General features: G+C 39.2%; 1 long non-coding RNA gene across 1 annotated transcript, besides 1 other annotated feature; it reads left to right on the top strand.

Annotated features, from left to right (window-relative positions):
* Positions 1-41: 41 nt before the first annotated feature.
* FAM230D (family with sequence similarity 230 member D) lies at positions 42-27,925 on the top strand. The gene is made up of 12 exons (NR_136570.2): positions 42-176; positions 6,210-6,268; positions 6,737-6,761; positions 9,708-9,794; positions 14,703-14,768; positions 16,768-16,829; positions 17,295-17,328; positions 19,545-21,351; positions 21,885-21,957; positions 22,184-22,224; positions 22,687-22,841; positions 27,486-27,925. It is a non-coding gene; the product is annotated as a family with sequence similarity 230 member D (long non-coding RNA).
* Positions 2,290-2,791: an enhancer, noted in NCBI's record as "OCT4 hESC enhancer chr22:18685927-18686428 (GRCh37/hg19 assembly coordinates)". NCBI's record gives its function as "activates a minimal SCP1, AML or CMV promoter by ChIP-STARR-seq in primed H9 embryonic stem cells {active_cell/tissue: H9 hESC(primed)}" and the evidence as "EXISTENCE:reporter gene assay evidence [ECO:0000049][PMID:30033119]".

The following is a 27,925-nucleotide window of genomic DNA, read 5'->3' as shown; positions in this document are numbered from 1 at the left end:
CCTGGAATGTTTATGCCCTATCGCCATGGTGATGGGATTAGGGATCTGCTGCCCTTGGTCCTAAGTGCCACTATCTGTGCTGAGTTTTTCAAAGGTCAGAGCAGATTGAACCTTTGTGGTTTCATTTTCCCTGATTTTGATTTTTCTTATGGGGAACCTGTGTGGCTGCATTCAAGGTATGTTCATACTGGCCTGTCAAATGCGATCTTTTCAAATTACTAGTTAATGCTTTCAAAATATGTTATTTAAAAAATTAGCCTCTGTATTTTCCATATGCAGTTATAAATATGTTTCATGGTTAGGTTTTATTCCTCAATTTATATATTTGATTATTGTACCAAGCAGAGTACCTTTGAAATTTTTCTTCATTTAAAAAATATGTATCTTGGCTCAAGCCTGTAATCCCAGCACTTTGGGAGGCCAAGGCAAGAGGATCACAAGGTGAGGAGATGAAGACCATCCTGGCCAATGTGGCGAAACCCTATCTCTACTAAAAATACAAAAAATTAGCCAGGCATGGTGGCAGCTGGTGTAGTCCCAGTGTGGTGTAGCCCCAGCTACCTGGGAGGCTGAAGCAGGACAATCGCTTCCACCCGTGAGGCAGAGGTTGCAGTGAGCCAAGATGGCACCATTGCATTCCAGCCTGTGCAACAGAACAAGAATCTGTCTAAAAAAAATTATATATATATAATGTATATTATATGTACTATATATTACATAAAACATATAATATATAATATATATAATATATATAAAATATAATATACATTATATATAAATAATATATATTATATGTCACGTTATGTAATATCTATGATACATATTACATAATAAAAGACATATATAATATATGATATATATTACATATAATATATGATATATATTACATATAATATATGATATATATTACATATAATATATGATATATATTACATATAATATATGATATATATTACATATAATATATGATATATATTACATATAATATGTGACATATATTACATACAATATGTGACATATATTATATGTAATATATGATATATAATATATAATATATGGTATATAATATATAATATATGATATATAATATATGATATATAATATATAATATATGATATATAATGTTATATTACATATAATTATATTATATTATATTATATATATCATAATATATTATATAATATATAATATATATCATAATATATTATGTAATATATATAATATATCATTTTATATATTATATATAATATGTCATAATATATTATATAATATTATATATAATATATCATAATATATTATATATTATATTATTATAAAATATATAATACTATATAATGTTATATATAATATAATATTATATTAGATTATAATATATAATATTATATTAGATTATAATATATAATATTAGATTATAATATATAATATATTAGATTATAATATACATTATATTATAATATATTATTGTATAATATGTTATAATATAATATATATTATATATTATATTATACATAATATTATATTATATATAATATATATATTTTATACAACATATTATATATAATATCTTATATAATATATTATACAATATATTATATTGTATAATATATTATATATATTATGTATTATTATCTTGTATATATAATTATATATAATTATATAATTATATATATTATATTATAGGTAATAATTATATATAATTATATATTATATTATATGTAATAATTATATATAAGTATATATTATATTATATGTAATAATTATATATAATTTATGTATTATATTATATGTAATAAATACACATAATTATATATATTTTATTATATATATTATGTATAATTGTATATTATATTATATATAATAATTATAGGTTATATTAGATATATTAATTGTATTTTATATTATTTTTAATATTAGTTAATATTAATTAATAATAATTAATTTAAATATTAATTATTATTTTATATATTATATTATATATTATGTTATATATTATATTATATATTATATTATATTATATATTATATTATATTATATATTATATTATATATTATATTATATTATATATAATATATATTATATATAATATATATTATATTATATTATTATATAATACAATATAGAATATATTATAATATATATTACTATATAATATAATATATTATATATTATATTATATTATATATATTATATTATATATAATATAGATAATTATATATTATATATCATTATATATAATTACATATATTATATTATATTGCTATATATATTCATATATATTATATTATATATAATAATACCTATTATATTATACATAATATTATATATAATATAAGGATGCAGGATGTAAAAGGAAATTATATATATGTTATATATATTATATATATTATGTCATATATAATTATATATATATATTTTTTTGGGTGCCCTATTTCCCATCTCATAACTTATTTTAAGAAGCCAGCATAATAATGTGTGGGCTTGGGATTCAGTTTTTGAAACAAAACACTGAGCCTTTGATGACCTTCCTGTAGTTGTAAAAGCCCTCACCTGTCTGCATGGCAGCAGTTGGACCTCACAGTGTGGATTGTGCCTTCACCCTGGAATGTTTATGCCCTATCGCCATGGTGATGGGATTAGGGATCTCCTGCCCTTGGTCCTAAGTGCCACTATCTGTGCTGAGTTTTTCAAACGTCAGAGCAGATTGAACCATTGTGGTTTCATTTTCCCTGATTTTGATTTTTCTTATGGGGAACCTGTGTGGCTGCATTCAAGGTATGTTCTTACTGGCCTGTCAAATGCGATCTTTTCAAATTACTAGTTAATACTTTCAAAATATATTATTTAAAAAATTAGCCTCTGTATTTTCCATATGCAGTTATAAATATGTTTCATGATTATGTTTTATTCCTCAATTTATATATTTGATTATTGTACCAAGCAGAGTATCTTTGAAATTTTTCTTCATTTAAAAAATATGTGTCTTGACTCAGGCCTGTAATCCCAGCACTTTGGGAGCCCAAGGCAAGAGGATCACAAGGTGAGGAGATCAAGACCATCCTGGCCAATACAGTGAAACCCTGTCTCTACTACAAATAGAAAAAATTAGCCAGGCATGGTGGCAGCTGGTGTAGTCCCAGTGTGAATTGGGATTCAGTTTATTCCCAAATTCCCAAATTTTATATATATATATATAAAAAATATATTAAATATATTATATATATACTATATATTATATTATATATAATTATATATATATATATTTTTGGGTGCCCTATTTCCCATCTCATAACTTATTTTAAGAAGCCAGCATAATAATGTGTGGGCTTGGGATTCAGTTTTTGAAACAAAACACTGAGCCTTTGATGACCTTCCTGTAGTTGTAAAAGCCCACCTGTCTGCATGGCAGCAGTTGGACCTCACAGTGTGGATTGTGCCTTCACCCTGGAATGTTTATGCCCTATCACCATGGTGATGGGATTAGGGATCTCCTGCCCTTGGTCCTACGTGCCACTATCTGTGCTGAGTTTTTCAAAGGTCAGAGCAGATTGAACCATTGTGGTTTCATTTTCCCTGATTTTGATTTTTCTTATGGGGAACCTGTGTGGCTGCATTCAAGGTATGTTCATACTGGCCTGTCAAATGCGATCTTTTCAAATTACTAGTTAATGCTTTCAAAATATGTTATTTAAAAAATTAGCCTCTGTATTTTCCATATGCAGTTATAAATATGTTTCATGATTATGTTTTATTCCTCAATTTATATATTTGATTACTGTACCAAGCAGAGTATCTTTGAAATTTTTCTTCATTTAAAAAATATGTATCTTGACTCAGGCCTGTAATCCCAGCACTTTGGGAGGCCAAGGCAAGAGGATCACAAGGTGAGGAGATCAAGACCATCCTGGCGAATACAGTGAAACCCTGTCTCTACTACAAATACAATCAATTAGCCAGGCATGGTGGCAGCTGGTGTAGTCCCAGTGTGAATTGGGAGTCCGTTTATTCCCAAATTCCCAAATTTTATATATATATATATAATATATATAATATATAATATATTATATATATTTTATATAATATATAATATATATAACATATATATTATATATAATATATACATTATATGTAATATATTATATATATTTTATATTATATATAAAATATATATACTATATATAATATATATAGGATATATAATATATATTATATATAATATATATAGTATATATAATATATATTATATATAATATGTATAATATTATATATTATATATATTATATATATTATATATTATATATTATGTATATAATATATATTATTTATATATTATATATAATATATAATATATAATATATAATATATAATTATATATTATATATATTATATATTATATAATATATAATAAATAATATATATTATATATATAATATATATGATATATAATTATATATTATATATTATATAATATATAATATATAATAAATAATTATATATCATATATATAATATATATAATATATATAAATAATATATATTATATACATAATATAATTATCATATATTATATATATGTCATATATAATATATGTCATAATATAATATATGTCATAATATATATAATATAATATATGTCATAATATATATATAATTTCCTTTTACATCCTGCATCCTTCAACCTGCATCCTTCAACGTTCCATCCCCCACCCCACAGATTAAGTTATTCCCCTGGGGAGAATATGGCGAAGTCTATTTTAATGCTGTTTTTAACCCAATTAAGAACCTATGAAATCATTACTTTCCAAAACTTTGGAACAAAGCCACAGTAGTAAGGATCCGTTGGAGGCTTTTCACACAATAAAATGTAACTCTCTTTGTTTTTAACATGTTTTTCCCTTCCTCTCTTCTTTTTTTGTGAAATGTGTATTTACTTTAATATATTTGTAGTAAGTCACTTCCATGCACATATTAATTTTTTAAAGTAATAAGCATGTGTATTGTCTACGTGTGAAAGAAAACACACATTTATTTTTATGCTTTGGAAGTTATCCAGAATCATGGAATTGTCAATCACAGTCAATCACCCAACCTACTCACCTTTCCAGTGTAATCTTAGTCAAATTTTTTTTTTTGTTATCCAATGAGATGCAGTATTTCAACTCAGAAAGATAAATAGAGTGAATTTATAGAGACTATTAACTAAGAACATACAGTTTGATTTATACTCAGAAGCAAGTAGATTATGTACATATATATGAAGATAAAAATTAAAAGGATAATTGTGTAAATTTGCATGTAGAGGGCTTTGAAAACCTGTTTACTTGTGAATGCTGTTTTGATGTATTGTGTCTTTGTTCTCCCGACCCATCATCCAGAGCTCTCTGCAGGAGCTAAGTGCTCATCAGTTCCATGACTTGGAAACTGTCTAAGTTTAGAGGCACTTGTATTTGTTAGTAAATAAGGCAAGATGATATTGTTTCACAGGTTTTAGTGCCGAAGACTGAATAGATAAGCTGCTCCACCCAGTACACTGGTGTTCATTTCATGGTCATCTCATCTGTTAACCATGGATATAAAACATTTATCTTCAATGATGGGGTTTTACCATGTTGGTCAGGCTGGTCTCGAACTCCTGACCTCAAATGATCCACCCACCTCCACCTTCCAAACTGCTGGGATTACAGGTGTGAGCCACTATGCCTGACTGATTATTTTCATAACCAAGAAAAGAAATAAATACAATTAATGCTGGTGCATGGTATTAAATCTAGTTTTTAAAAAATTCACACATAAACAGGGCAGAACCCTATACCCTCCATGATAAATGCAGTAGCAGTGTATGTGGGTCTGTGGAGGTTGAAAGGGACTTGGTCGATGTCAAGAAGGTAGTGGCAGTCCTGCTGGGCTTTTAAAGGGTCTGAAGAAGTGACAGGATGCTGTGGTTGAATCGTAGCATGTGTTTTAGCATTTGTTCATTTGGAGTTGATTATTTCACGTTGCTTTCATTTGCCATTACCTGGAAAGCCAAGGGCTCTACTCTCATTTCCTTGCTGCTCTTTCTTTGCCTTCCTTGGTCCGTGAAGAAGATGGTCCAGGAGAAGCTCATTCCATGCTTGTTAACCAGGCACGCCCCTAAGTTCCAGTCCCTGAGTCATTCATGAGTAGCACTGCCAATGAACTGACAGCCATGCTGTGTCCCTCCACATCCCCTAGGTGACTCGAAGAAGCCTTCCAAAAAGCGTGTGAAAAGGAAGCCCTACTCTACTACCAAGGTAAAGTAGCCTGTCTTTGCCTAAGATGTAAATGTTGTTTTCTTGGATCCTTTATTTTTCAGTTGATATCAGCTATGGGAAAATTCTCCACTACATTATAGGTGTTAGATAATATTTCCTTGGGGATGGAGGAGGTGTATTTTACCAACTGACACCTGATTCCAGAGGACGTGCAAAATTGGCAGTGTCAGATAGTACACTGGGTGTTAAGGGATGTTTTCTTCAGGAACAAGCTTTCCACTTTAGATAAGAATTCTGCAATTGCTACTCAAAAATTACCTAGACAGAAACATTCTTCAACAAAAGCTCCTGTGCTTTCCTAAGGCAACTCTACTCTAGAGTTGGGGCTTTTGACTTGAACCTTATTTCCAGTCTTGGTTACCCAGAGTTTCCAAGTGAACAAAAGACCTGTGTGAGCCATCCATAGCATAGCCTGATTCTCAGAGTGTTTTCCTTCTCTAATTACAGGTGACTTCAGGGAGCACATTCAATGGTACGTATTCTGGAATCACTCACTGGTTGTTAGAAAAGGATTCTACAGGAAATCTGGAGCTTAACTGCTGGCTTTTGTCTGGAGAGCCTCCATGATCCAAGACATCTGGTGGGAATGAGGATGTAGGGTATAGTAAAAGAAACTGGTTTTCCTGGTGACATACTCTTTTTATCTATGTATAGTTTCTGGGAACATGTTCACATTAGGTTGTGTGTGGGTATGTGTGTATTAGGGCGGGGGTGGGGTGAGGTGGTCTGTGTGCAAGTCTGCATGATTTGCTTGTGAATGTGTGTCTATGTGTGTTTCCCCTAGGAAAAAAATGTTGTGTTTACCCAGCACAACTCTCAGTGCCATGTTTCTTAATTTAACAAATCAGACCACATACTTTACTTACATTAGTTCACACCTCATCATCATCATGCCCATATGTTGTGAGCTTGTTTATTGAGCCCACATGCCAGATGGAGAAACTAAGCCACATAAATAAATGTGCCCTGGTTCACTTGCTGCATAGTGAAGAGTCAAAATGTTTCCTCATACGGTGCTAATGTTGAAGGCCTGAACTACAACCACTATTTATCAGCCAGTGAAGAGATCACTATTCACCATGCAAGGGAGTTCCAGCACCCTCTATGCCTGGAATTACCCACGCCTGCAGAGATCCCAAACGCCATCCCTCACATAAGACAGCCTCATGATCTCATAATCCAGGTAGCTATGTAGACATCTTCCTGCAGGTGTCACATAGTCCTTAGTGTGAAACCAACATAGAAAGCCCATGTTTCTGATCAAATCACAGGTTCTGAAACACTAAGGGAGGCACTAAGTAGGACAACGTGGTGCCTGCGTGTCATAGCTGGGTCTCCTCAAGACATGGATCAAGTCCAGTAAGAATTGGGGAGATGCTTTAGAGTCTTGATGGAGTTATCACCACAAGCCCTCTGAGCTACACACTTTAGGGATCATGACCATTAAGTACTCAAATTACCATTTGGTTGTTATCCGGGTATCCGTCGTCCTTGTGGCAACCCTCTTGTGAAGCTGGTGTGGACAGCCTCAGTGCTGGAGCTGTGCCTGCCTTCTGAGTGGACCCTTTCTGTGTTAGCAGGTGGGTACAAGCGTGGGGGTCAGCACACTCAGTGGATTTACACACACAGCGTTGAAGAGTAAGGCTGGGCTTCATTATTTATACATTTTCAATAAATGATGATCTTCATAACATAAAATCAATGATGTAGTACACTAGAATACTGTCCCTAGTATTGAATCTTGTCTCTCAGCAAAGGGTTGCTTAAAGTCACGTGACAGATTCCATTCAACTGATGACACATGCTGTAGCAGCAGTTAAAGCAGTCATTTGAAAAGGCTTTTACTATAAACTTACGTGTGAGCCTGAAGTGGGGGATAAAAGAGGCGATTAGCTCCCCTGTGCCATGTTTCTCTTATGTGCGTGGTGGAGGAAAATTACACAGGAAGGTGATGGAGAGAACAGAGCAAAGGATTGGACAGGTCCATTGAACCCATAAGACTATGGTGAGGTTAGTGAATGAGACTGGTCATTTTAGGTCAAATTTTACCCAGAGCTGGTGCAGCCACTGCCCATTCTTAGCCAGACCTTATTGCAGGCAGCTCTGATCAATAGTCAAGGAGGCAGTGGGGGTTGCAGACTTAATTCATTAAATCACCAAAGCACCAGCCCACACGGCCACTTTTCCAGTTAATTCACAGTAGCTTGCATATTCAGGTTTGATCAGTGGAAGGGAAGTTACTCTTTGCAGACCCATCTTTTGACAATCATTTTGCAGTGTCGGAAGGTCTGAGCAGCCTCGGGAGGCAAGCAGTCCCTGGTCCCTCAGTGTAGTCACTGGAGGAGACAGTCACTGAGAGGCAGCTGGCAGGGTGAAGGGAAAGGGGAGGCAGGCCACAGAGATGACAGCCTTTAAGCTGTCATACTGGGAGGTCAAGGATCTGAAAGAGGAAGGAGAATTCTTTATCATTAAGGACCTGTCCTTATCTCAGGCATTTCCTCCAGAGCATCACCTTTGTCCACCCACACACCTTGGGCTAGGAGGACTGGAGAAAAACAGTGAGGGGTCTCTTGGGTCTCTGGCACAGGGCGTGATGAAGAGGTGGCAGTTTTTCAGGAATCTCTCTCTCTAGGGAACCAAATACATTTCCCATCTCAGGTCCTTCACTCAGCGGGGTTGAGGTTCTGCTCGTCACTTATCATCTCTGAATGTCAGCACCCTCAAGTGTAAAATCTCAGCCACAGCCCCTCCTCTGCACCCCCTGCAGGGCTGATGTTCTCCATAAACCATAAGGCATCATGCCCACGGAAAAGCCGAACAGGAAAGCATGCTCCACTGCCCCGGAGCCATCCAAGTTCCCCCTCCATATTCCGCCACTGCTGAGTGTCCAGCTTATTCCTCCTGGCCTGTAGTAAACACTTAGAGAACATTACTGAAGTACCAGTCCTCTCTAAGGTTTTCCTGTATTTAGTGATTTTTTAGCCCTGTACTGTGATACTAAGAAGTAGGGCCTAAATAGGGCCTAAAAAGTATTGCTAAAATTACATTATGACAGTGCAGAGAACTGAGGGCAGAGGGAGGACATGAGCTTGCCAGGTCCACATGGCTTAGTGGAATTTGAATCCGGGCCCCTACTCTGCACCAGCCCTGCACTCACAGTCATCCTGCTGTATTCTCCTCTCCAGGAAGGCACTGCCCACGCAGTCTGTCTGATAGAGGTGTTGAGTGCTCACTGAACTCCGTGATCTTCCTGAAACCCAACTTTGATTCAGTGGGCTCTGCTTGGAAGCCTGTAAAGAAAAGGATCATAAGTTTAAACTTAGAACAGATTATCACTATTTTCCCTCTGGTCCTCTGTCAGCAAGATGTCAACAGCCCTATCTATTGTAAATGCATTAACCAGCATCTTCTCTGATAGAGAATATAAGAAGATATGCTGTGCACACCAACCAGTGTAGGAGACCTCATGGCTCCCGGGTAAAGAAGAAGAGGTACCCACAAGAAGGTACTGTGGAAGTTCATTAATTAAGTTGATTCAAGAATTGCAGTTGCGGGGAGTATTCAGTGTCCCATATGTAAGAGGAAACTATGAAGAGACTAAGCCATATTTTTTAATGTGTCAGGATTCTAATTTGCCTGGTCAGTAAATATTGCTACCACCACAAAAGTAAATATCTACTTAAAAGTCAATTTTGGTTCATGTTTAATGATAGACAATGTTTCAAGCTAATGTCTAGAACTTACCTGGTTGTTAAACATAAGCATAGATCTCCCTGAAAGAGTGGTGCTATATTATTATTTTTCAATTAATATATTTCTTTAGAGAGTTTTAAATTGACATAAAAACTGAGCATATGGCCGTGTGTGGTGGCTCACACTTATAATCCCAGCACTTTAGGAGGCCAAGGCAGGCGGATCATCTGAGGTCAGGAGTTGGAGACCAGCCTGGCCAACATGGTGAAACCCCATCTCTACTAAAAATCCAAAAAAATTAGCCGGGTGTGGTGGCAGGCGCCTGTAATCCCAGCTACTCAGGAGGCTGAGGCAGGAGAATCGCTTGAACCCGGGAGGCAGAGGTTGCAGTGAGCCAAGATCATGCCATTGCACTCCAGCCTGGGTGACAAGAGTGAAACTCCATCTCAAAATAAATAAATAAATAAATAAATAAATAAATAAATAAAAATTGAGTATATAATACACGAAGTTCCCATATTATTCTGTCTCCTCACCCTCACTTCCTAATTTCACCTATTAGTAACATCTTACATTACTGTGGTACATTTGCTAGAATAATGAGAAAATATTGACACATTATTATCTGAAGTCTGCATTTGCATAATGTTCATTCTTTCTGTTATACATATATATGAATTTTGAAATATTTAAAACATTATGTTCACCCTTATGGTCTCATAAAGAAAATGTTCACTTCCCTAAAAATCCTCTCTTCTCATTAATCTCTGTCCTCTTTCTCCAGAAACCTTGGCAACTATTAATATTTTTACTATCGCTTCAGCTTTGCCTTTTCCAGAATGTCATATAGTTGGAATCATATATTATGTAGTTTTTTCAGATGAATTTATTGCACTAAATTGATGTACGCTTTAGCTGCTTTCATGTCTTTTTTATGCCTTAATGGCAAAAAATGGCACATTAAATCACCAAATAATATTGCATTAAATGAATTTTTGTCTTTTTATTCACCTGTTGAAGAATTCGGTAGATTTCATGAGAGAAACCATCTGGGCCTGGTGCTTTCTTTTTCGGAATGCTCTTAATGTGAATTCAACTTATTTAATAGACATAAGTTTATTCAAATTAGGATCCTAGCATGACCTTGGGAAGATTGCCTTTCAAGGAATTGATACATTTCACTGAGGTTATCAAACTGCGCTCATAGAACTGTTCATGATATTCCTTTTAATGCCTAACAGTTCAGTAGAGATGGCTCCTCTTTTATTTCTGAAATTGGTCATTTGTGTTATCTTCTTTTTCTTGGTTAGCCTGCATATCAATTCATTCATTGTAATGAGCATATCAAAGAACCAGCTTTTGGTTTTATTGATTTTCTGATGATTTCAGTGTTTTAATTTTATTGATTTCTGTGATGTTGTTTATTACTTTTACTTGCTTTCCATTGCATTCCTCTATTTTCTATAGTTCCCTAATTGAAACATGATATTACTGATTTTAGGTCTTGTGATTTTTAGTATATTGCATCCAATGCTATAGATTTCCCTCTAAGGACTGCTTTTGCTACATCCAGAAATCTTGCCAAGTCACATTTTCTTTTAATGTAGTTAAAAGTACTTTTAATTTTCTATTGAGACTTCTTCTTTAACCCAACAGTTATTTAAAAGTGCATTGCTAATTTGCAAATATTTGGGGATTTTGTGGCTCTTTTACAGTTGTTGATTTTTTGTTGTCAGGTGTGTGTTGCAAAAGCAGTCGTCTACCTCATCTTGCCACCACCCAAGATGGCCCAGGATGTGGGCTCTCCCTGAGTGAATCTTTGGCAATCTGCCAACCTGATGTGTTCGGCCTCCTTCTTTAGTCTGAGCTTGCCTTCTGCTTAGAAAGGGCCATTCTCAGTTCTGGCAGGGAGTTTTCCCAACATTGAGAAGGTGGCATTCTTACTCCCCACTGCAGCCTGCACCTCTGACCGGTGGTCAGCAGACAGGACAGAGGTCCTCATTAGACAGAGTTCAGCAGGGTCTCTGACCAAAGTGCATCTTCAGAGTCTGCACCTACCCACTGTGACCACGGGCAGGCTCTGAGTCCTAAAGCAGGAGGAACTGTGCGACCATCCTGATTGGAAATTTGTGAGGATCACCGTGTTACTCAAGTAAGGTCTTTGGAAAGTGTCGTATTACTACTGTTTGTGAACTGCTTGTTGGTGGCCTGGCTGAGCCACACACTTTATGAAAACCAGGACCCCTCAGCTGGTGTGGGTGTCTATGCAGCCTGAGACCCTCATGTGAACAGCCTCGTGGCAGCTGTCTTTGCCCCTTGCCACCATCAGTGCCTCCTTGTTCCTGGGCACTGCTTTCTCTGATGGTGCTCCATTGTTTTCCTGCACCTCAGTGTCTACAGCTGGATGTCTCTTCCGCAATCTAGGCGAGGGGGCATCAATGGCAGTTCTGCTGTGGCACTGCCCTCCTTCTTAGCTTGTCTTGCTCTGTCTTAGGCTCCCTCAAAGATCCCACCCTTCAGGTTCTTCCACAAGTTTCTTATTGAAATCCGAGCAGAAAACTATGACCAATATGACCAATCCTATACCCACTGAAGACATGAATGAAGAATTAAAACAATTCTCCATGGACTCTACCATATAGATCCCTAGAAGTAATTTCTAAAAAAAAAAAAAAATCAAGGAAGATGTAATAGTTTTCCATAAATTAGAATACCCTACATGTACAATTAAATGAAATGGCTAGTATAGTCTTGAAACCAAAACCAGATAAGGTAAATTAAATTCTGTGATATTTTAAAATACTGTAAATTCTGACTAATGTGAGTTAATCTCAATATATGAAATAGTAGATTAACATTGAAAATGCAATAAATAAAATTAGCTACCTCAAGAGTTTAATGGAAAAAAATGTGATTATTGCAATAGATTCAGGAAATTCATGAATAACATTCACCCTATATTTGTAGGACAACTATCTAACTTTAAGTGACCTGTGACAACCATTTGAATTAATGCTGCTTTCACAGCATATCTCTTGGCTTGTTAAAAACCCGACAAGAATTTCCGTAACATTAATTTATTTTTAACACCTATATTGGGTGTGAACCCACCATAAAGTTTGCCCACTGAAAAGGTCTACAATTTGATGCTTTATTAAATTGATACTGTGTGCACCCATCACCACGATCTAATTTAAATATGTTTCCCTCACCCAAGTTCTCTCTTGCGCACTGGCAGTTAATCCCCACTCCCATCTCCAGCCCTAAGCAATACTGCTGTGACATTCCATCTCCATAAATTTCCCATTTGCTTAATAGAAATGGACATATATATATATTTGGAATCTGACTTCCTTCATTTAGCATACTATGTTTGAAGTTAATTGACGTGTTAGCACGTGCTGGTCATGTGTTTTCCTTCATAGTCTGCTGTGTTTACTCATACAGATAGTGTTTATTCATTTATCAGTTAATGGACATTTAATTGTTTTGTTATTTTCTTTGATGAGTAATGTAGCTTTGAGCATTCATATACAGTCATGTAATGCATAATGACATTTTGGTCAAAAAAATTTTTTTTTTTCTGAGACCCAGGCTGGAGTGCAGTGGCACAATCTCGGCTCACTGGAACCTCCACCTCCCAGGTTTAAGCAATTCTCGTGCCTCAACCTCCCGAGTAGCTGGGACAACTGGCACACGCCACCATGCCTGGATAATTTTTGTATTTTCAGGAGAGACAGGATTTTGCTGTGTTGGTCAGGCTAGTCTCAAACTCCTAGCCTCAGGTGATCCACCCATCTCTGCCTCCCAAAGTGCTGGGATTATAGGCATGAGCCACCACACCCAGCCTAATTTTTTTAAGAAAGAAGGGAACTATTTTCTAAATTACTTTTGCCAATTTATATTTCTACCATGATGCATAGCACTAATTTCACCGTACAATGTATGGTAGGCCCCAATATGTAAGAAATGATGAAAGTAACACATAAAGATTGGTATAAAACAAATAAGATTATCATTGTTGCTATCATCTTTGTCAAATTCTGAAAACAATCTGAGTATATTTTTATATAAATATGCTTGGCAACATAGCTGAAAAACGCATTATCAGTTACATTTATCAGTAACAAAGACATAAATTTGAAGGGGGAAAAACACTTGTACTAACAACGCAATGTCAGAATTAACATAAAAATTCTGCTGGTCACTTTGGAATATTTAATTGCCTGGGGCAGTGTTTAGTAGACAAATGAGCATCTATGGAGCACCCAAAGTAGGGGAATCAACAGAACTTGGGTTTCAAAAGTTATCTGGGTTTAGAGCGTGAAACTTTGTTAGAGGACACACACCTTGCATGAGCGAGGTGCCTTGGTGTGTGTGGACGTACCATTATGCTTGGAGGTACAGCATAATGGTGGCTTCCTCCAGAAAGGGACATTTGGGGTGGATTCATTCCATCTAGACAACACAGCCTGATGTGGCATGGACATGAATGGAGGTGAAATGGTCAGTAGTTGAGAGGATCAGTCCTGACAAGGGCCGAGGTGAAAAACCTGGGAACCCCTTCAGGTGCAAAGTCTTCAGTTGAAAAAGGAGGTGGTCACAGGAAATACTGAGACAGGACAGCAAAGCATGGGAGACAGAGTTCTTGGCCCTGCAGGGTGAGTACTGTGGATTCTCAAATTTTCTCCTCTCTCCATTAATTTCTTTCCCAATGCAGATGACTTCCATCATACAGTCTTCAGCAATCTTGAAAGATTGGACAAGCTTCAGCCCACTCTTGAAGGTAAAGGAAGGCAGCTAACAAGACTGGCATCTGGGCTTGGCTGTGCGTGTTTTCTATCGTGGGGAAATATATATAACACAATATTTATCATTTGAACCTTTTAACCAAAGTGTGCACTCCATGGCATTCAATATATTCACAGGGTTGCATAACCAACACCACTATCTACACCCACAATTTTGATGATTTCTTACAAAACCTTGTCCACAATAAGCAATATAGCACCTTCCCCCTATTTCCAGCCCATGGTGATTCCTATCCCACTTTCTCTTGTATGAATTTGACTATTCTAGGCACTTCATGTAATTACAATTATACAATATATTCCTTTTGTGTCTGGCTTATTTCACTAAGCATAATGTTCTCAATGTCCACCCATGTTGTATCATCTATCAAAATGATGTTCGTTTTTTACAGATGGATGATGTAGCATTGCATGCAGACCACCTTGCTTTTGTTACATTCATTTGTTCACTGATGGTTGGATTATTTCCACCTTTTGGCTCCTGTGAAAAGTGATGCTGCAAACATTAGTATACAAACATCTGTTTGATTTCTGTTCTCTATTCTTTGGGGTGCCTAAGAATAGAGTTCCTGGGTCCAACAGGGGTTCTATATTTAACCTTCTGAGCCACTGCAGACTGTTTTTCACAGTGGCTGCAACTTTATCCATTTCTACCATCAATGTATCAGGGTTACAATTTCTTTACGTCCTTCTTCACACTTATTTTCCTTTAAATCATCCTAGTAGGTGTATATTGGTGGCTGCTTGTGTTTTTCATTTGCATTTCCCTAATGACTAATGATCCTGAGCAGCTTTTCCTGTGCTACTATCTGTGGCTGTATCTTCTTTAGGGAAATATATGTTGAAGTCTTTTGCCCATTTTTAAAGAGTTGTCTGATTTTTATTTAGTTAGTTTGTTGCTGTAGATTTTTGAATATATCTTAAATATATTTAAAATATATTCTAAATTTTAGTCTCTTACAAGATAAATGATTTGCAAATATTTCCACCTTTGTGTAGAACTTTAGATTCACAAACTTCATTAATTTGTATGAAATCCTCGGCAGTTGACCCCAAACAGATAAGACTGAAGCAGTATTTTAGGAATAGTTGAAAGTATGATCACCACAAAACATAAGCGTAATCAAATCCTGCAAGCTACATGTAAGGCACAATGACAAATAAGGCAGCAAAGGGCCATCTGGTGTTTAGTTCACCACACTTGTTGCAGCTGTTTGCACTGCAGAGTTAAAACACACCAGCATTCAACCCATGTCTCCTCTCTTGAAGTAAACTGTCGTATGTTGGCTGGCCTGAACAAGCGTAGATATTCTCCATCCTCAATTAATATGCATGCATGACAAAGAAAAGGAGGCCTGGATGAAAAAATATTGTGTGATTAATAATTATGCTTTAATTAATTTTAAAGGATATAATTTCAGTACTTCTAATTCTCCCATCAGCAGTTATAACAAAGGATTAGTGAATAAATACCATAGACTGTTTTGCCTAGAATTGAATCCAATCTATCTATTAAACTTTGCTTTTATTCAAGTGCAAAATGCTAAAACACATAACTGCAGTGACAGCCACTGTGGATCCTCAGAGGTAAAAGTAGTCTTGGGACATAAATCCTGCAAGCTAATATTGTTTTTACAGGTTTAGAAAACCATTTAGCTGGGTTTCAAACCTCACAGTGTGAGCAGTGGGACTCTCATCAAACTATAGCATGTGCTTCAGTACCATTTGTAGACTGACTCATTCCCATTTTCTTAAGTTGCCATCAGCAAAATGCCAGGGACTCTATTTCTCGCTCCTTAGCTCCTCGTTCTTGCCTGTCTTTCCACGAGGGAAGATTTTCTAGCAGGAGCTCAAGCTGTGCTTTTAATGAAACACATCCACACACACTGTCCTGTTGTCCACATTAAGCAGAGCTCCCTGAATAACTCATGAACAAAAGCATCTATGACTAACTGTTGCTCTGTGTCCTCCTAGCCTCTGAGGAGTCTCTAGTTCACAAGGACAGAGGAGATGGAGAGAGGCCAGTCAACGCGAGGGTAAGGTTGCCTTGCTTTCTCTGAAATAGAAATGTTCCTTTCTTGGTGTCTTTCTTTTTCAACTGACTTTACATGTGAAAAAATGACAATGTCCATGACAGGTATTAAATGCAGTTTTCTGAGGGGGAGGAAGAAGTGACTCTTAGCAACTGATATGTAATCCAAAATGGCATTTAGCTATGACGGCTTCAGGTTGTAGACTGTATCCTTGGGGTCCTTGTCCTTGGAAGCAATGTCTTCTCCTTGGATTCAGTATTTTGCACTTGCCAACCTACGTGGACCTGAGAGATCCACCATCCAGAAGCTGATGTCTTTTCCAGTGTGTATCCTACTCTTGTTTTGGAGGCCTTGAAGTTGACTACACTTTCTGATCAAGTTTTCAGTATTCATTGAGAGAAACAGAGCCTTGTGCAAACAATCCACAACATGACATACCCCTCAAAAAGCTTTGTTTCTGTATTGCAGGTGGTGCAGGTGGCCCCTCTGAGGCTTGAATCTAGTAAGTATTCTGGAATCACTTGCCAAGAAAACAATCTGGATGCCAAGAAAGGTGTGGCATCCTTGCCTGGTTTCAATGTGAAGAGCCTCCCTGATCCTGGGATTGTGATAGGAATAAGTATAGGGGAAGTGTTTTTTTAAAACCTGAATTCCCCAGGGAAAAATTATGGCCAAATTTTGAGGAAGCAGCTGTGCTCCCTTTTGGGTGGTGCTGAGTTGGGTGCTTGAGGATTGGTGGTGTCTTGTGTGAGGCTGCATCGTGTGGTGTGAATGTGTGTGTTTCTGTACAGGTGAGGCTGTGTGTTTTCTCAGGAGAGATTTCCCACTTATACAACCCAATCACCAGTGTCCACTTCTAACAATAAAATCCACCCCCGCTCTACTCTCTCTGTACAGTGACTCCTCCACCCTCACCAGAGCCATCCCCGGGTCTGCCTTATTATCCCCACTGCTCAGGTGGAGAACCTGAAGGGCCAAGGGAGTGGCCCCAGCTCCCGAGTTCCTGAATGAAACAGTGAAAACACGAACCCAGGAGTGTGGGCCAGTGCTGACGCTGACATGCACTTAGTCATGGGGTGTTCACCACCACACAGGGAGTCCAGCATTCATGTATAAGCCCTAAAGCAACGAGCCCAAGAGGCCCCAGACACTGCCCATCATCATAAAGTGGCCTCCGTGGTCACACAACCCAGGGCAGTTATAGGCTCATCTCCCCACGGACCGGCATAGTCATCAGTGTGTCAAAAGCACAAAGATCCCCAGGTGTTTGGCTCAGCTCACAGATCCCTTTTTTTTATTTAACTTTTCAGTTCAGGGGTACATGTGCAGGATGTGCAGGTTTGCTACATATATAAATGTGTGTCATGAGAGTTTGTTGTACAGATTATTGCATCACCCATATATTGAGCCTAATATCAGTTATTTTTCCTGATCCACCCCCTCCTCCCACCTCCCACCCTCCAGTAGGCCCCACGCTCACAAATTCTAAGAGGAGTGGGGGACCACAAAGGCCAGTGTGGCCCACTTCAGTTGTGAAGTTAATTTGCTCAGCAACTGGCCAAAGTCTATAAGGATGGGTGATGTACTTTAGTAGATTTAGTAATACTATCTTCCCAAGCCCTAAAATGCTCAAATCCTGCCAGCCAAAAATGGTGAGGAGGGACAGATAGGAACTCTGTGTGGCACTTGGTTATTAGCCTGGCTTCCATCCCTTAGTGGCAACTCTCTTGTATATGTGGGTTAAAGACCCTCAGCCTCAAGCCAAGCCTCCTCCATGAGGAGCCATCTCACTATTGACCGGCTAGTGCCGGGTATGGCCACCAGCCCAACTGAAACAAAATGTTGCTCTAAAACAAGTGTAAATCTCATACATACAACAGGCAAATGCAGAAGCAGTGTGGTCTCGCAAGTTGTAAAGAGGACAGTCGCAATTTTGCTGGACTTCAACCTGGGTAGAAGACATGAGGGAACTCTGTCACTAAATCACGGCAGAGTTCAAGGCCACTTGTAGACTATTTCATGTTACAGAAGGTGGCCTTTAGCTACTAAGCAAAGGCCTCTGTTTCTCATTTCTTTCCTGTTCATCTTCTTGGTCATCCTTCTTCCGCAAGGGAAATGAGCCCAAGCAAAAGGCAGTTTCAATATTAATTTGACCGAGGTTTTGTGCAGTTTATTATCATCCAGGTAATCAGGTGCAACCCAGTCTGCCTAGCAGCCCCCCTATCTCTGCTCTGTGTTTTCATTTAATAAACATTTTGGTCTACTTACTATGTGCTAGATTTTCTCGAGACCAAGTAAATGAGATAGAATCTTTATGCTGGCAGCTAAGTTAGATTTCACATAACTGACAAAAATTAAAATTTCTGATTTCTTGTAAAAATATTTTGTATGTGTGAATGCATACTGAATGTAAAGTGGATAAAAAACTCACACTTGCACTCATGGAAGGCTTTTCATGAATTTGTCAATTTTTATTTTTTATATTTCCCCACTTCACCAGATAATGCATACCTGAACCTGGAAACTGATTCCCACTGCAGAAAGTGTTCTGAGCCACATCCCTTAGCTTCACTAGTGCAGGTCCACCTGGGAGGATGTCCCAGCATCAGCTTGACCCATGCTGTGATCAGCCACCTCCATGCATCACACCAAGCAAGCCCCTGGGTGATTCACAGTCTCCACCACCAGGGCACTGACCTTAACTCTGTGTTTTTCTAGCTCCCCATGAGGACACCGTACATGACATCACTAACCAGGACGCCACACACGACATCGCTAACGAGGATACTGTCCACGGCATCGCTAACGAGGCCGCCGACAAGGGCATCGCCAACGAGGACGCCGCCCAGGGCATCGCCAACGAGGACGCCGCCCACGGAATCGCCAGCGAGGATGCCGCCCAGGGCATCGCCAACGAGGTCGCCGCCCAGGGCATCGCCAACGAGGACGCCGCCCAGGGCATCGCCAACGAGGACGCCGCCCAGGGCATCGCCAAGGAGGACGCCGCCCACGGGATCGCCAAGGAGGACGCCGCCCAGGGCATCGCCAACGAGGACGCCGTCCACGGCATCGCCAACGAGGACGCCACCCATGGCATCGCCAACGAGGACGCTGCCCACGGCATTGCTAACGAGGATGCCGTGCACGGCATCGCTAATGAGGACTCCGTATACGACATCGCTAATGAGGGTGCCGTATATGACATCGCTAATGACACCGTACAAGGCACGCTAACGAGGACGCTGTACACGACATCGCTAATGAGGACACCATACAAGGCATCGGTAATGAGGACGCTGTATACGACATCGCTAACGAGGACACCATACAAGCCGTCGCTAACAAGGACACTGTACACAACATCGCTAATGACGGCACCGTACAAGACATCACCAATGAGGGCGCTTTATACGACATTGCTAATGATACCGACAAGGCACGCTAACGTGGACGCTGTACACGACATTGCTAATGAGGACAGCGTATAAGACATCGCTAGTAACTATCGCAAGAACAAAAAACCAAACACCGCATATTCTCACTCATAGGTGGGAATTGAACAATGAGATCACATGGACACAGGAAGGGGAATATCACATTCTGGGGACTGTTGTGGGGTGGGGGGAGGGGGGAGGGATAGCATCGGGAGATATACCTAATGCTAGATGATGAGTTAGTGGGTGCAGCGCACCAGCGTGGCACATGTATACATATGTAACTAACCTGCACAATGTGCACATGTACCCTAAAACTTAAAGTATATATATAAAAAAAAGACATCGCTAGTGAGCACGCTGTATACGACATCGCTAATGAGGACACCATACAAGGCATCGCTAACGATGACGCTGTACACAACATCACTAATGATGACACCTTATAAGACATCGCTAATTATGACGCTGTATACGACATCGCTAATGACACCGTACAAGGCACGCTAACAAGGATGCTGTACACAACATCGCTAATGAGGACAGTGTACAAGCCATCGCTAATGAGGACACTGTATATGACATTGCTAACGAGGACACTGTACAAGGCATTGCTAACGAGGACGCTGTACACAACATCGCTAATGAGGACACCATATAAGACATCACCAATGAGGATGCTCTATATGACATCGCTAATGACACCCACAAGGCATGCTAACAAGGACGCTGTAGACGACATTGCTTATAAGGACACCGTACAAGACATCACTAACGAGGACGCTGTATACGACATCGCTAATGAGGACGTTGTATATGACATCGCTAATGAGGATGCTTTACAAGACATAGCGAATGAGGTTGCTGTATATGACATCGCTAATGAGGACATTGTATATGACATCGCTAATGAGGACGCTCTATACGACATCACTAATGAGGACGCTGTATACAACATCGCTAATGAGGACGCTGTATATGGCATCGCTAATGAGGATGCTGTATACGAATTCGCTAATAAGGACGCTGTATATGACATTGCTAATGAGGACACTGTACAAGACATCTGTAAAAAAGAAGATGCTGCCAATGTAAGACACTTTTCTTTGTCTTGAACAGAAATGTTACTTTCCTGGCTTCTTTCCAATCAGATGTAGACATGAACATCTGCCAGTGTGCATTATCGATGTCATCTGCAGTTTAATCAAATGTAGACATGAACATCTGCCAATGTGGACTATTTATGACATCTGCAATTCCCTTGGTGTGGTGCTATTGATTGGCAGCCTCTCACCAACCCATGCCAGGCACACTGGGGTGTGGTAGATGGCAGCATCCACGATCCACTGCAATGCAGAGGTGTTTCCCTCCACAGCAGTTTTCCCCCATGGATTAAGAGTTGTGAAACTGCCAATCTAGATACACTTTAAAGATAAATTCTGTGGGAAAAGGTCTTGTCTTTTCCACAGGTGTCTTCCGTGCCAGTTTTGGGGGACTTTGACCTTTGACTCAATCACTATACCCCTTCTTATTTTCTCTCTCAAGTTGTCGAGAGACTATCAGATCTGTGTGACGTGTATGGCATCATTTCACCCTCCTAATGTTTTCTTTTCTATAATTGCAGGAGCCATTGACACTGGAGAATGATACCTACCCTGAAATAACTCACTTCCTGAGGAAAAAACGCCATCTCTAGGGTACAGAAACCTGATTCTGGGCTCCTTTTGGGAAGGAGGATTTGGAGTCTGGTGAGAGCAAATGATTTTGCAAGTATAAAACAATGTCCAGAGAGGCTGTAGGGATATCTGTGAGCCCAGAGGAAACACCAGGGGATCCTGTGCGAAGCACCATGGCTTCAGCTAGGGTGGGAGGAGTGGGTGGGCCTCTCTCTAATGACTTATCCTGGTGTTTGTGTTTCTAAAGATTTGATTGTGGAGAGCATATCTGATGATGGGGATTTGTAGGTAGGTAACTACTTTCCACGTAAGATCCAATTGGAGAGAGTTCCCAGGGGCCTTCGGGGTATCCATGCTGCTTGGGAGGTTAAGGGAGGGGGCATGAAATCAAAAGGAAACAGGAAATATGTGTCATATTGGATTTGGTCTTTTCCGGGTTTATTGGCATAATAGTTAGAACTGTCTCTCTGGGCTATGAGGGTGCTGTGATATTTAAAGGTGGTCTTTCCCAGAACACCTGGCCTTTTCTTTTCTGCCTCTGCCAAACATCACAGCCTTTGGGTTGGATTAGTCAGCACCCCTTGGGATTGTGCAGAAGAGGTTTGGGGTTGCATCGAGTGTCACCTGTGGTGAACAGAATCTGAGGGACACAACTCTCTCACAGGCACTTCCTTCAACCTGGAGACAGAGTTCTCCTGGTGTGTGCCCAGGGGTGGAGGAGAAATTGACAGTCTGCCTCTGAACTTTCAGGACTTTAAAAAGCACTCATGTTTCCATCCTCACTGTTGACTCCTGGCTTAAAGGGATCTCCCGGGGTGAGTGAGGAGGCGGGATCGGACCCTGGCAGTCTGACGGCAGCACCTGTGTTCCTCTGCACTGGGCCGTGGATGACATTACACACCTTGGTGAGAATCAGGAATTGAGGCTAACCACATCTGAAATTGAGATGGGCCTTGAGTCATATAAATAGTTTGGAAAAGATGCATTTTACTACGCTATTGAAAGAAACCATTTATTTCTCACTCCAGCAGGATAAATGGTTTTCAGTATCCATTTAACTGCTCATTGACTCTTACTGTAGATGAGGAGGTGGCCAGCAGCCCCTGCCCTCCCCCAGTTGGTAGGCCCAAGGTAACCAGCAATTGACTGGATATAATGGAAGAGTGGTGCATTCGGAAGTATCTGTATTAATGGGACCCACATGATATGGATGAGAGCTATTAGGGTGAGAAAAAGCCTGGGAGCACAATGAAATATTTAAATATTAAACAAAACATTGTTGAAATCTCCATTGTACTTTAGTAGTTGAAGTCATTCTTGTGGTCATCACTGCCTTTCCCAAGCATAACAAGCTACTTAATATCACATGGACCCGTGCCATGAGGAATGATGATCAGTTTGTAAAATGCCAATAAAACAATTGCCTATATAAGCCACAATGTTTCATCCATATATTTCAATTTCCATGTGTAAGTATAGTTCAAATTTCAGAAATTTATTATTATCTAATAGAATATGCATGGTATATCAATGAGCAATTATCATACTGTTTCTATTAACAATTATTTGTATGATGAAAAAAGCAGACTCCCATTCTTGGATTTTTCTCAGTTTGCACACATTAGCATGACAGCCCCATTTCCACCTGACATGTGCCAGCAAGAGGCCAGGAACAGAGGCTTTTCTTATTAACTAAGATTTCTAAATGTATTACGTATTCACATTTAGAAACTCTAAATATCATAAAAGGTTAGCAAGGAAGTTTCCCTTCCACTCTGAACTTCCAAACACCAAGTCAACATTTTTGTTTGCATATCATCCCTGCAATCTATGTGCAAATAGAAGCATGCACCTGGAATGCAGGCTGATGTGTGATCGTGTTTACACAAAGTCCTCTGCACCTCTGCATATATCACTGGGCAATGCACCTTAGTTATCATTCCACATTTCAAATGTAAATCCATTGTATTGTTTCAGAGCTATAAAGTACTGCACCCCATGACTATTCCCAAAATTACTTAAGCACCCCGCTATGGGTATCCGTTTGTTCTGTTTCCAGTCTTGCTCTTATAACCAATGCTGTAGTGAACAGCACTGTGTTGAGAAGCGGTGAACGTGGGCATCTTTGTCTTGTTCCCTTCCTCAGGGGGAATGCTTTCAACTCTCCCCCATTCAGGAAAATGTTGGCTGTGGGTTTGTCATAGATAGCTTTTATTACCTTAAGGTATGTCCGTTCTATGCTGATTTTGACGAACGGTTTTAATCATAAAGAAATGCTGGATTTTGTCAAAGGCTTTTTCTGCATCTATTCAGATTATCATGTGATTTTTGTTTTTAGTTTTATTGATGTGATGTATCACATTTATTGACTTGCGTATGTTAAACCATCCCTGCATCCCTAGTATGAAACCCACTTGAATCATGGTGGATTATCTTTTTGATATGCTGTTGGATTCAGTTAGCTTGGTTGTAGCATTTCTTATTATTCCATCTGTGGAATGTATTGGTTGAAATAATGAAAACATGTTCTATCCTCACTGCTTAGCACTTTGTGTTTCTTTAATAGCCTTCCCAACAGGGCAACATAAAAGCAGGAGCCCTGCTAGTCTCCCCTTAACCCGGAATCCCCCCTTCTCCACAGCTCGCTCATTGGACAGGATAGACTGGGCGCCCAGGCTTCAAGGTAAGGACGTGCTCTGTCACCTAGAGGTGCAGTGCTTGGGAAGGCCAACCTTGGAGGGTTGCCTGCCAGCTTTACAGTGACAGAGGTGTTGAGAGGGACTGACCACCAGTGCAGAAGGCTGTGCTTTGTTGGTGACATAAAGGATTGTTTCACAGATTGTTGGGGAGGGACAATCCCAAGGCCTCCCCTGGCCCTGGTGCTGGCTCTGCACAAAGGCAATAAGAGAGGGATGCTGGTAAGGGCTGACCTGTTGCTGTGCTGGGGAGGAAGGTGCTGGGCTGAAATTCAGGAGGCTGAGGATGCAGCAGTCCCATAGGAGGTACATGACCTTCAGGATACATTTTCTTCATTGATGATCAATGGAAATGAGAAATCACTGACTATTTTTTCTATCATTGGAATCTACTCTCCACTGCTCATGCTGTTCCTGTCTTTTGGGGAAGATGGAGGATCAATCAGTGTGCGCTGCACTGAGTGGAAGGAAGGAGAACTGTGACAAAAATTAAGGAAGGATGAGAGACGGGAGGGCCCTTCATCCAGCTGCTTGCAGAGTCCTCCTGAGGAGGAAAGCCCCGTGGCTCCCTGGCGAAGGAGCAGTGAGGGCTGCGTGACTCCCACAGTGAAGTGTGTGGTATGTCTGAGGACACCCAGGCTGGTGGTCCATGAGGAGCCAGTGGCAGAGTGAGAAGAAGAAAGGCCAGGAGGGTGGCTGGAGGCCAGGCTCTGAGTCATTCTCCATGTGATGGAAACAGCCGGAGCCCAGTGGGCTTGGAGGTACAGGATGCGGTGGCTGATGACAGAACAATGTGGAGAGAGGCGTCATTTGTCAAATCCTTACTTTGTTCTGGGCATTGTGCTAAAAATTCTGATGGCTCATCCCATTTAGGGGCTGAAAGTTGCAGAGGTTTAGGAAGCTCACCCACGATACTGGAGCCCCCATCTCCTGCCCTAGTGCTGTCCACCTTCTCACCCAGCCACCACCTGTTTCGGGGGAACACACAGAAGTGGTAACCTCTTATGGAGAGGCAAGTAAATTCTGCTGTTTTTGTTATTCACAGAAAAACACTGGCTCGTGTGGGTTGGGAAGGTGAAATACCAGAAGTATTTCATCTGGTTATTTCTACCCATGCAACTCCTATAATATTGAAATGCATAGGTTAGCATTTTTGGCCAATTTACTCAGCATTCTGGGTTAAAGGCTTTTATTTATTTTATTTATTTATTTATTTATTTTTGAGATGGAGTTTCACTCTTGTTGCCCAAGCTGGAGTGCAATGGTGCGATCCTGGTTCATTGCAACCTCCGCCTCCCAGGTTCAAACTATTCTCCTGTCTCAGCCTCCCAAGTAGCTGAGATTATAGGCACATGCCACCACACTGGGCTAATTTTTTTGTATTTTTAGTAGAAATGAGATTTCACCATGTTGGTCAGGCTGGTTTCGAACTCCTGACCTCAGGTGATCTGCCCTCCTCGGCCTCTTAAAGTGCTGGGATTACAGGTGTGAGCCACCACGCCTGCCCTAAAGTCTTTTAAAATTCACTTGTATAAGTTGACTTAGTTTTCTTTAACCTTGTAGAAAAATACAAAAATGGCAATCTCTTTTATCACACAAATAATGTCTTTTTAATGGAGTGATTTTTTTCTAATTGAGGTATTATGTACTTTTCTTTTACTAATTATTGTTTACATTTGAAGTGTTTTATGAATGAATATTTAATTGCATAGATGAAGATTACTAGTTATAGGCATTTTACTAACCAATACTCATTAAGCATAGCGTGGATTCATATGACATCAAGGAGCTATTTTATTTGGTAAAATGAAAAAGCACAAGAATGAACGAACGCAAGAACTGAAACAGTGGAGACACCTAGAATGACTTGTCTAAGATCTAAATCATTTTGTTGTCTTCCCAGCGTACTTATTATCCTGATCATTGTCATCAGCATTGTTTGGGTCCTTTTAGCACAGATTTCTCAAAATGGGTAACTCCATAACAGTTGGAAGCTTACGAATTCATATAATTTGTAAGAGGTCAATTTGGAAGTACCTATCTATATTAAAATTCCAATAACCTGGGAATTTCATCCCATGTCAAGAGTCTTTTATGTAAAATATTTCCACAATTAGGAGAAATATGTGCATGGGGATTTTCTATGTAGCGGTGTTTTGATAGAACAGAAAATTGGGATAAACCAAATTTCCATCACGAAGGAAATAGTAATATGCTGAATAATAATACAGCGAATATTATGCAGGCTTTAAACATCAAAAAAGAGTTCAACTTCTGACTTCCGATGATGGTGTTGAAGCAGGTCACTGCTGGTTTACATTTGATTTTCATGTGGGAACTCTGGAAGTCCGTCCGCCTTAGTGATTTCACATGTGGCTAAATTGAGCTAATGACAAGCTGTTCGAAGTATGGCAAAATGGAACTTTAAAACAGTATCTTGTCAACAACCAAGAGGACCTTTTTCACATAAAGCCCACGCATTCATCTGCCTGTCCATCATTCTGTCTGTCCACACGGGCATCATTCGTTAGTGGAACTGAGTGCCCACTGTCGAGCTGACAAGCCCATAACCTCCCTGTTCCTAGTCACACATTAATTCTTCAACAAGTCCCTTTTGATAGATTGTGATTAAGCTTAGCTACTATTTCCAATTGCTTCCCCAAACGTACTTCTCACTGTTCTCCCATCACACCCTTCAGCCCATCCATGCGGGGTTCCTTTGCTTTTCCCACCTTACACCAAACTCCCTATTTTTACTCCCACTTTGACCTCCTCTCCAAGACAAAACAAACAAAATTAGCATTTTAAAACTTAGTTGTAATCTTTCTTCCTTCATGAAAATTTCTCCAACAGCCACTCCCACGGTCCTGTGTGTTCCGGATATTTTAAAATAATGGCTATAAGGTTGAGCACTTCAGGATACGCTGTTTTGCTGTGTGCAGATGGAGGCAGTGGCTGGAGTGAATGAACGGCAACACTTGCTGGCAACCGGCAGAAGCTGAGAGACAGGGAACAGGCTCTCCTCCAGAGCCTCCAGGAGCCAGGCCTTTGGACACCTTGAATGTGGGCTTCTGGGAGACCATGCGTTTCTGTTATAAGCAGCCCAGTCTCTGGCAGTTTTTACGGCTGCCCCGGAACACTCATCTATACCTGTCTGACAAGGTCAAGCTCCAAGGAAGGGACTCTCTACATATCTACATTGTTTGCAGATTTTACAATAATCATTTATTCTTGCATGGCTGATCATTGTTAACCAATACAAATAAAATAATAAAGAAATGACCCACATTTTA

The sequence above is a fragment of the Homo sapiens genome, chromosome 22 (assembly GCF_000001405.40).
Source record: "Homo sapiens chromosome 22, GRCh38.p14 Primary Assembly".
NCBI lineage: Eukaryota > Metazoa > Chordata > Mammalia > Primates > Hominidae > Homo > Homo sapiens.
Note: the sequence above shows the minus strand (reverse complement) of the source record. Positions and strands in the feature narration are given on the sequence as shown.